This window comes from Homo sapiens, chromosome 7 (genome assembly GCF_000001405.40).
Source record: "Homo sapiens chromosome 7, GRCh38.p14 Primary Assembly".
NCBI classification, from domain to species: Eukaryota; Metazoa; Chordata; class Mammalia; order Primates; family Hominidae; genus Homo; species Homo sapiens.
In genome coordinates, this window is record NC_000007.14 from 98,026,532 (window position 1) to 98,037,738 (window position 11,207).

General features: G+C 47.0%; 2 annotated features.

Moving 5' to 3' along the window:
- Positions 7,507-8,015: an enhancer, noted in NCBI's record as "H3K4me1 hESC enhancer chr7:97663350-97663858 (GRCh37/hg19 assembly coordinates)". NCBI's record gives its function as "activates a minimal SCP1, AML or CMV promoter by ChIP-STARR-seq in naive H9 embryonic stem cells {active_cell/tissue: H9 hESC(naive)}" and the evidence as "EXISTENCE:reporter gene assay evidence [ECO:0000049][PMID:30033119]".
- Positions 8,016-8,523: an enhancer, noted in NCBI's record as "H3K4me1 hESC enhancer chr7:97663859-97664366 (GRCh37/hg19 assembly coordinates)". NCBI's record gives its function as "activates a minimal SCP1, AML or CMV promoter by ChIP-STARR-seq in naive H9 embryonic stem cells {active_cell/tissue: H9 hESC(naive)}" and the evidence as "EXISTENCE:reporter gene assay evidence [ECO:0000049][PMID:30033119]".

Here is an 11,207-nt window from a genome sequence, read left to right on the forward strand (position 1 = left end):
GGATTAGATTGCCTGCCCTGGGCCACAGAACTAGCTGTAATCATGGTCCCGAGTCTTTGTGTTGGGAGAAATATTAGTTTGGAAGCTCAGTTTCCTCCTCTGCCCCCCAGGTGGACCTGACCTGACTCATGTGTGCAAATGAAGGCATCTCCCTGCGTGCCCACATTTGTCGAGCCCTTTCTTTCCTTCCCCCTTCCTTTTAAAGATGTCTTGTCTTGGGCTGGGCGCAGTGGCTCACGCCTGTAATCTCAGCACTTTGGGAGGCTGAGGCGGGCGGATCACTTGAGGTCAGGAGTTCGAGACCAGCCTGGCCAAAAGGGTGAAACCCCGTTTCTACTAACAATACAAAAATTAGCCGGGCATATGGTGGTGCATGCCTGTAATTTCAGCTACTCAGGACGCTGAGACGGAAGAATCGCTTGAACCCGGGAGGTGGAGATTGCAGTGAGCTGAGATCACGCCACTGCACCCCAGCCTGGGCAACAGAGCAAGACTCTGTCTCAAAAAAAAAAAAAAACATTTTTGAGGAAAGGCAGAAGCATTGGAAGAAATTATAAGAAAACATAAAAATAATTATCCATAATTCCTTCAACTAGGTAAAACCACTATAAATGTTTGCCTAGCGCCTTCCAGTGTTTTTCTGTACACACACAAATATGCACAGACCAAAAACTATATACTTTTAAAAATGTAAAGACTTTATTTGCCAGGTAGGGTTTTAGAAAGTTGAAACTAATTCATTCTCTAACCGTGTATGAGAGTATGTTCCTCCTGCACCTTCATCAAATATTCGTGTTCCTTTTGTTAAATTATGCATATGTTTTCCTAGTGCAGTTTCCCTTTTCTTGCATTAAGTGGCAGTTCTCTAATACTTTTTTTTTTTTTTTTTTAGAGACAGGGTCTTGCTATGTCACCCAGGCTGAAGTGCAGTGGTGCGATCATAGCCATTGCAGCCTTGAACTCCCAGGCTCAAGGGATCCTCTAGCGGCAGTGTCCCAAGTAGCTGGGACTACAAGTGCGTGTCACCATGCCTGGCTTCCTGATACTTTTTCTGCTTTCCTGCCCCAGATTTGCAATCCAGGCAGAAAGAAAATCTCCACTGGATCCCACGGACAAAGACGCCCCATCTTGGGGAGCTGGAGTCATGAATGTCAGTGTGCACACACACACACACACACACACGGAAAGAGAGAGAGAGAGAAAGCAAGAAAGAGAGAAGTAAGGAAGAAGGAGAGAGAAAGAAAGAAGAGAAAGGAAAGAGAAAGAGACAAAAGAAAAGGAAAGAGAAAGGAAGAAAGAAAAGAAAAAAAGGAAAGGGGGCAGAAGGAAGGAAGAAGGGGAAAGAAGAAAGAAAGGAAAAGAAAGAAAGAAAAGAGAAAGAGAGAAAGGAAGAAAGGAAGGAAAGAAGGAAGGAAGGAAGGAAAGAAGGAAGGCAGGCAGGCAGGCAGGCATGCAGTCCAGCCAGGCGCGGTGGCTCACGCCTGTAATCCCAGCATTTTGGGAGGCAGAGGCGGGTGGATCACAAGGTCAGGAGATCGAGACCATCCTGGCTAACACGGTGAAACCCCGTCTCTACTAAAAATACAAAAAATTAGCCAGGTGCGGTGGCGGGCACCTGTAGTCCCAGCTACTAGGGAGGCTGAGGCAGGAGAATGGTGTGAACCCGGGAGGCAGAGCTTGCGGTGAGCCGAGATCGCACCACTGCACTCCAGCCTGGGTGACAGAGCAAGACTCCGTCTCAAAAAAAAAAAAAAAAAAGGAATGAAAGGAGGGAAGGAGGGAAGGAGGGAGGGAGGGAGGGAGGCAGGCATCCTCTTGTGGACTGTTTTTTTACTTTGTTGGTTTTCTCCACCGGAATACTACATTGTGAGTTGCCACAGTTACTCACCTTTGGCTCTGCCTCAGTGGCGACCCATGGAGTGATGTTCCAAATGCCTACTCTGCAAACAGTCCTGATTGTGCAGTGAGCAGCACTACAACTACATCAATGTAGTTGATTGATGGATGTCATTTAAAGACAGAAATGTGTGCAGAGGTGAGTGCAGAAGGGTGAAGGGGACTTCCAGGCACAAAACCTTGAGATCCATCCTAATCCTTCACCAACGACTCGAATTTTTTTTTTTTTATTTTTGTGGGTACATAGTAGGTGTATATATTTATGGGGCACATAAGACATTTTGATACAGGCATGCAATGTATAATAATCACATCGGGGGGCCGGGCGCAGTGGCTCACACCTGTAATCCCAGCACTTTGGGAGGCCGAGGCGGGTGGGTCAGGAAGTCAGGAGTTCGAGACCAGCCTGACCAACATGGTGAAACCCCGTCTCTACTAAAAATACAAAAATAAGCCGGGTGTGGTGGCCCATGCCTGTAATCCCAGCTACTCGGGAGGCTGAGGCATGAGAATTGCTTGAACCCGGGAGGCAGAAGTTGCAGTGAGCTGAGATAGTGACACTGCACTCCAGCCTGGCCAACAGAGCAAGACTCCGTCTCAAAAAAAATCATATCAGGATAAATGGGGTATCCATCTCCTCAAGCGCTTATCCTTTGTGTTACAAACAATCCAGTTATACTCTTTTAGTTATTTTAAAATGCACAATTCCTATTGACTGTAGTCACCCTGTGGTACTATCAAATACAAGGTCTTATTCATTTTTTCTAACTATTTTTTGCACCCATTAACCATCCCCTCTTTCACCCGCCCCTGCCACCTACCCTTCCCAGCCTCTGGTAACCATCCTTCTATTCTCTATCTCCATGAGTTCAATTATTTTATTTTGTTTTAATTAATTAATTAATTTCTTAGATGGAGTCTTGCTCTGTCGCCCAGGCTGCAGTCCAGTGGCACGATCTCGGCTCACTGCATCGTTCACCTCCCAGGCTCAGGCCATTCTCCTGCCTCAGCCTCCCAAGTAGCTGGGATTACAGGCGCGTGCTACCATGCTCGGCTAATTTTTGTATTTTTAGGAGAGACAGGGCTTCACCATGTTGGCCAGGCTGGTATTGAACTCCTGACCTCAAGTAATACACCTGCTTCAGCCTCCCAAAGTGCTGGGATTACAGGCGTGAGCCAGCGCGTCTGGCCTGAGTTCAATTATTTTTAATTTTTAGCTCCCATGAATAAGGAAGAACATGCAAAGTGTGTCTTCCTGTGCCTGGGTTATTTCACTTAACAGAAAGAACTTTGCTTCCATCCATGTTGTTGCAAATGACAGAATCTCATTCTTTTTATGGCTGAATAGTACTCCATTGTGTATAAATACCGCATTTTCTTTATCCGTTCATCTGTCAATGGACACTTAAGTTGCTTCCAAATCTTGGCTACTGTGAACAGTGGTGCAATAAACATGAAATGCAGAGATCTCTTTCATAGACTGATTTCCTTTCTTTTGGGGATAAATCTAGCAGTGGGATTGCTGGATCGTGTCATAGCTGTATTTTTAGTTTTTTGAGGAACCTCCAAACTGTTCTCTATAGTTGATGTACTAATTTACATTCCTACCAAGAGTGTATGAGGGTTCCCCCTTTTCCACAACCTTGCCAGCATTTGTTATTGCCTGTGTTTTGGATAGAGCTGGAATTTTTTTTTTTTTTTTTGAGGTGGAGTTTCGCTCTGTCGCCCAGACTGGAGTGCAGTGACACGATCTCGGCTCACTGCAACCTCTACCTCCTGGGTTCAAGCGATTGTCATGCCTCAGCCTCCTGAGTAGATGGGATTACAGGCATGTGCCACCACGCCCGGCTAATTTTTGTATTTTAGTAGAGATGGGGTTTCACAATTTTGGTCAGGCTGGTCTCGAACTACTGACTTTGTGATCCGCCTGCCTTGGCCTCCCAAAGTGCTGGGATTACAGGTGTAAGTTACCACACCTGGCTGGGAATTTTTTTTTTTTTTCTAAGACAGAGTCTCGCTCTGTCGCCCAGGCTGGAGTGCAGTGGCACCATCTCGGCTCACTGCAAGCTCTGCCTCCCGGGTTCACGCCATTCTCCTGCCTCAGCCTCCTGAGTAGCTGGGACTACAGGCGCCCGCCACCACGCCCTGCTAATTTTTTGTATTTTTAGTACAGACAGGGTTTCACCGTGTTAGCCAGGATGGTCTCGATCTCCTGACCTCGTGATTTGCCCACTTCGGCCTCCCAAAGTGCTGTGATTACAGGCATGAGCCACCACGCCTGGCTGGGGTTTTTTTTTTTTTTTAATAGGATAGATTATGTACATTTATTCAGGAAGATATAATATCAAATATCCTCTTCCATTGAAGTAAAAGTATCTATGTCTAGAACAGTCATCACAAACAGGCTTTTTAAAAAAAAAAAAAAAAAGAAAAGAAAGAAAGAAAGAAACAGGGACTCACTATGTTGTCCAGGCTGGTCTCAAACTCCTGGACTCAAGTTGTCTTCCCACCTCAGCCTCCCAAAATGTTGAGATTACAGGCGTGAGCCACAACACCTGGCATAAACAGGCTTTTTAAAATTTATACAGTATCTCTAGGCACAATTGAATGCTAATAGCAAACCAAAGCAACCCTTCAGATTTACAAGCCTAGCCACAAATAGCAAAGAAGTGCTCTCAATATCCACCCCCCAGCCTATAAACTTGCTGTAATTCACAAAGAGAATCTGATGAAAGATGTCTACATTAATAACAATAATATCTAGAATTTATTGAGTGCTTCACTGCATGTCAGATACTGGGCATCTATTGCATGGAACAGCTTCTATTTTTATCTATTTTATGAATGGACTCTCTGAAGCTCAATGGCTATTAAAGAGGAGTTAAATGGCTATTCGGTGTCCTGGGGTTGGTAAGTGGCTGAGAAGAGGCTGAGCCTGGGCAGTGTGAGCCCCGGGCCTGTGCTTTTAACCACGTCCCTGTGCTGTCTATTGAGGTGACCCATTCCCTGGTATCCTGTGGTCTTTGCACCAGGGAGGAGGACCTGGGAGTCTGGAAGCCCCACTGTGGGCCTGGATAGGCTTACCTGCCTTCTCAGCCTCAGTTTCCTCATCTGAAAGGAGGGTGGGTCAGAGTGACCTTAGAACATATTGGCCCTGACACCCCCTAGGACCCTCCAATTTTTTGCTTTTTTTTTTTTTTTTAGATATGGGGGTCTGGCTATATTGCCCAGGATGGTCTCGACCTCTTGGCCTCAAGCAATCCTCCTGCCTCGGCCTCCCAAAGTGCTGGGATTACAGGAATGAGCCACTGCGTCCAGCCAACCCTCCACATTTTGGGGTGAGAGCCAACCCCTCACTTTGCAGCTGAGTAGCCTTGATACACTTCGGGGAGACAATAGGGGTCATGGCCATGGCTGGGATGAAATGTAACTAAGGAAGAGTGAGTCTCTGCCCTGGAGTCCCCAGTCTGCCTCTGGTGACACTTAAAACTCAAACCAGGCTGGGCGTGGTGGCTCACACCTGTAATCCCAGCACTTTGGGAGGCTGAGGTGGGCGGATCACCTGAGGTCAGGAGTTCGAGACCAGCCTGGCCAACATGGTGAAACCTTGTCTCTACTAAAAATACAAAAATTAGCTGGGTGTGGTGGCATGCACCCGTAATCCCAGCTACTCAGGAGGCTGAGGCAGGAGAATTGCTTGAACCTGGGAGGTGGAGATTACAGTGAGCCAAGATCGTGCTACTGCACTCCAGGCTGGGCAACAGGGCGAGACTCTGTCTCAAAAAAAAAAAAAAAAAAAAAAAAACCCAAAACACCAAAAACCCAAACCAAGCTGGAGAGGCATCCTTGGAGTCTGGGGATGAGCGAGGCATCCTTAGAAATAGGCCAGGGAAGGAGGGAAGGAAGCCCCACAGTCACAGTGAGGGCCGATTCCTTTGCCAGCCTGTGTGTCCATGCACTGGACCTGGGGACAGGAAATATAATCTTGGCCACACACCAGGTGCTGACTTGCACTGCTGCCCTGCCCGGGAGGCCCCCCAAGCCTAAATCAAGCCCAACACCCAGTCTGGAATTGGACCTTATGGAAGGCAAAGGCATTCTCGGTTTAATCAAGAAAAGTGGATACCTGGACCTCACTGCCACCTCATTGAGCTAATGCTTTAAAAACAGGAGTGAGGTTCACCACCAGCCCTTGGGGAGGATTGGGAAAAGGCTTCTTGCCTCATCATTACGGCTCCTTTCAAATGAAGCTTGGGATATTCACCCCGGGAAGGAGTCGTGCCTGGAAATAGGAGGAGTGCCTCAGACAGCAGGTCTCAGGGTCAATGGGGGGCCCTTCTGTGGAACCCAGAAAGAATGCATCTGGCCGGGCATGGTGGCTCATGCCTGTAATTTCAGCACTTTGTGAGGCCGAGGCAGGTGGATCCCTTGAGGCCAGGAGTTCAAGACCAGCCTGGGTAACATGGTGAAACCCCATGTCTACTAAAAATACAAAAATTAGCTGGGCGTGGTGGTGTGCACCTGTAATCCTGGCTTCTTGGGAGGTTGTGGCATGAGAATCGCTTGAACCAGGGAGGTGGAGGTTGCAGTGAGCCAAGATCATGCCACTGCACTCCAGCCTGGGTGACAGAGTGAGACCCTGTCTTGGAAAAAAAAAAAAAAGAATGCTTCTAAAGCATCTAATCAACAGGTCAGAGAACTTACAGAGAACCCTCATTTGTGATGTTTCACATTTTGTTAAAAATTTTTTAATCGATTATATATTTTTCTGAGATGGGGTCTTGCCATGTTGCCTAGTATGGCCTCAAACTCCTGGGCTCAAGTGATCCTCCTGCTTCAGCCTCCCAAGGGGCTGGAATTTCAGGTGTAAGCCATTGTGCCTGGACACATGTATCATTTCTTCATGTTACATACATTCCAGTTATACTCTTTTAGTTATTTTTATTTTTATTTTTTTGGTGGAGTCTTGTTCTGTCATCCAGGCTGGAATGCAGTGGCACAATCTTGGCTCACTGCCACCTCCACCTCCCGGGTTCAAGCGATTCTCCTGACTCAGCCTCCCTAGTAGCTGGAATTACAGGCACACACCACCACACCCAGCTAATTTTTGTATTTTTAGTAGAGATGGGGTTTCGCCATGTTGGCTGGGCTGGTCTTGAACTCCTGACCTCAGGTGATCCACCTGCCTCGGCCTCCCAAAGTGCTGGGATTATGGGAGTGAGCCACCGCGCCCGGCCTCTTTCAGTTATTTTAAAATGTATGGTAATTAATGGTGACTGTAGTTACCCTGTTGTGTTACCGAATAGTAGATCTTATTCAACCTACCTAGCTATATTTCTGTACCCATATTGCTCAAAGAAATCATTGTTTCCCTCTCCATGTTTCTGGAACATTTAGACTTCAGGAGCCCTTTTTATTTTTTATTTTTATTTTTATCTTTTTAGAGAGAGGGTCTTGTTCTGTTGCCCAGGCTGGAGTGCAGTGGTGTGATCATGGCTCACTGCAGCCTCGAACTCCTGGGATCCAGTGATCCTCCCACCTCAGCCTCCTGAGTAGCTGGGACTACAGGCATGCACCACCATACTCGGCTAATTTTCAAAAATTTTTTTGTAGAGATGGGGTCTCACTATGTTGACCAGGCTGGTCTTGAACTCTTGGGCTCAAGTGATCCTTCCACCTCAGCCTCTCAAAGTGCTGGAATTACAGACGTGAGCCACTGCACCTGGCCCAGGCTCCCTCTTGAGATAGGCAGTTGGAGCCCCAAGCTTAGCTTTGGGAGCCAGGTGGGTCCCTGAGGGTGGCCAGGAAACAAGTACTGCCTCCTGGGGGACATACCCATTTTTATTTACCCCATGTTTGGTCCACACACAGCACCCCGGACTCAGCATCTGAATGGGGCTGGTGTCAGATGAACACACCAGGTCATCCCCTTGTGCTGTTTATATCTCGAGAGAATAGATAAGATATTTGCAGTCGAAACAAGAAAAGTGGCTAAATCTGGGGAAAGTGCTTGGCCAGATCCAGTTTCTTATGATTTAAGCAGAAAGTGTAAACATCTCCTCGAGCCCAGGGCCAAGGACAAACACAAACGCTGGGCTCTGCCCAGGATGCGGGATGAGCCAAGCCGACATGCGGGCGGCGCCGGGGAGCAGCGAGCATTTGCAAGTGCTAACTCGTTCCTGCTGTGTGCAGACAGCACCCGCAGACAGACCAGGCCCGCCCCGCCAGCGTCTAGGCGAGGGATGAATCCTGCAGAATGAAGATGATGTTTCGAATGAATAGGAAAAGTGTATTGTGTCAGGGTTCTTTAGAGAAACAGAACCAACAGGAGATTAGATAGATAGATAGATAGATAGATAGATAGATAGATAGATAGATAGATGATAGATGATAGATAGATGACAGATGACAGATAGATGATAGATGATAGATGATAGACAGCTAGATAGATAGACAGATGATAGATTGATAGAGAGATGATAGATAGATGATAGTTGATAGATAGATGATAGATGATAGATATAGATAGATGATAGATAGATAGCGATATAGATAAATGAGAAGAGGATTACCATGGGAACTGGCTCATGAGATTATCAAGGCTGACACTCACCCACCCTGTGCCATCTGCAAGCTGGAGAACTGGTGAAGCCAGCAGCGTGGCTCAGTCCAAGTCCCAAAGGCCGGACAACCGGAAATTCTGATGTCCAAGGGCAGGAGAAGATGGGTGTCCCAGGTCCAGGAGAGAGACAGAGAATTCTTTCCTCTGCTCTTTTATCCTCTCCAGGCCCACTGACAATTGGGTGGTTCCTGCCCAGATTGGGAGAGGGCAGAACTCCCTTACACAATTCACTGATTCAAATGCCAGTCTCGGCCGGGTGCGGTGGCTCACGCCTGTAATCCCAGCACTTTGGGAGGCTGAGGCGGGTGGATCCCCTGAAGTCAGGAGTTCGAAACCAGCCTGGCCAACATGGTGAAACCATGCCTGTACTAAAAATACAAAAAATTAGCCGGGTGTGGTGGCACATGACTGTAATCCCAGCTACTTGGGAAGCTGAGGCAGGAGAATCGCTTGAACCCGGGAGGCAGAGGTTGCAGTGAGCCGAGATCGCACCACTGCACTCCAGCCTGGGCAATAAGAGCAAAACTCCATCTCGAAAAAAAAAAAAAGGAAAGAAAAGAAAAGAAAAAGAAAGAGAAGGGGGTTGGGTTGGATTTCCATTGTTTGTTTCCTCCTTATGAGCTGAGGGGGCCTGGATCCCGGGCAACTGGGGATGACTTGTGGATGTCTGACCCTGAAGCTGCTCACTCCACCATAGATTGGCAGATTTCTAGATGTTTCCTGAATTTATGGAAGGGAATCTTGTGATTTTTTAAATTTTTAGTTCACTAGTTATTAAAACATGTTTATTTTATTTATTTAGTAATTGTTTATTTTACTTATTTTTTTTTTTTAGATGGAGTCTCACTCTGTCACCCAGGCTACAGTGCAGTGGCACGATCTCGGCTCACTGCAACCTCCGCCTCCTGGGTTCAAGCGATTCTCCTGCCTCAGCCTCCCCTGTAGCTGGGATTACAGATGTGTGCCATGATGCCTGGCTAATTTTTGTAATTTTAGTACAGACAGGGTTTCACCATATTGATCAGACTGGTCTTGAACTCCTGACCTCCGGTAATCCACCCACCTCAGCCTCCCAAAGTGCTGGGATTAGAGGCATGAGCCACCGCACCCGGCCTGAAAACGTTTTCAAAAATAGTTTTAAAATGTCCATAACATAAAACGTGCCATGTTAACCATGTTGAGGCATACAGTTCAATGACATTCAATACTTTCACACTGTGATGTAACCGTCATCCACCTCCATCTTCAGAACTTTTTCATCTTTCCAAACTGAAACCCTGTCCCCATTAAACACTCACTCTCCATCCGCCTCCCCCCACCTCCTGGCACCCGCTGTTCTACTTTCTGCCTTTATAATTTTGAGACTCTAGGTAACTCATATAAGTGGAGTCATTCAGGATTTGTCCGTTTGTGATTGGCTTATTTCACTTAATACAATGTCCTCAAGGTTTATCCATGTTGTAGCGTGTGCCAGGATTTGTTTCCTTTGTAAGCTGAATAATCTTCCATTGTATGGATAGGCCACATTTGGTTTACCCATCCATCCGCTGGTGGACAGTTGGGTTGCATTTATCTTTTTTTTTTTTTTTTTTTTTTTTAGTCAGATTGTCGTTCTGTCACCCAGGCTGGAGTGCAGTGGTGCAATCTCTGCTCACTGCAACCTCCGCCTCCTGAGTTCAAGCGATTCACCTGCCTCAGCCTCCTGAGTAGCTGGGACTTACAGGCACCCACCACCACCATGCCCGGCTAGTTTTTTGTATTTTTAGTAGAGATGGGGTTTCACCGTGTTAGCCAACATGGTCTCGATCTCCTGACCTCGTGATCCGCCTGCCTCGGCCTCCCAAAGTGCTGGGATTACAGGCATGAGCCACTGTACCCGCAGGATTGTATTTATCTTTTAGCTATTGTGAATAATGCTGCTGTGAACATGGGTGTGCAAATAGTTTGAGTTCCTGCTTTCAGTTCTTTGGAATGCTAGCTCATAAGGTAATTCTATGCTGCCCAGGCTGGAGTGCAATGGCACAATCTTGGCTTACTGCAAACTCCACCACCGGGTTCAAGTGATTACCCTGTCTCAGCCTCCTGAGTAGCTGGGATTACAGGCACGTGCCACCACGCTCAGCTAATTTTGTATTTTTAGTAGAGATGGGGATTTCACCATGTTGGCCAGGCTGGTCTTGAACTCCTGACCTCAGGTGATCCGCCTGCCTCAGCCTCGCAAAGTGCTGGGATTACAGGCGTGAGCCACCACACCTGGCCCAAAAAAGTTTTTTTTAGAGACAGGATCTCACTATGTTGCCCAGGCTTGAGTGCAGCTCACTGCAGCCTCCAGCTCCTAGGCTCTAACGATCCTCCTCCTGCAGCCTCCCAGTAGCTGAGACTATAAGTACACACAACCAATTTTTGTATGTTTTTTTTTTTTTTTTTTTTGTAGAGATGGGGGCTCACTATGTTGCCCAAGCTTGTCTCAAACTCCTGGGCTCAAGTGATCCTCCCGCCTTGGCCTCCCAATGTGTTGGCATTATAGGCATGAGCCACTACACCTGGCCCTATTTTTGACTTAATTTTTTGAGGGGCTGTCAAACTATTTTCAACAATGGCTGTGCAATTTTCCATTCCCACCAGCAGTAGGCAAGAGTTCCAATTTCTCCACATCCTCACGAACACTCATTTTCAATTTTTTCTTGAG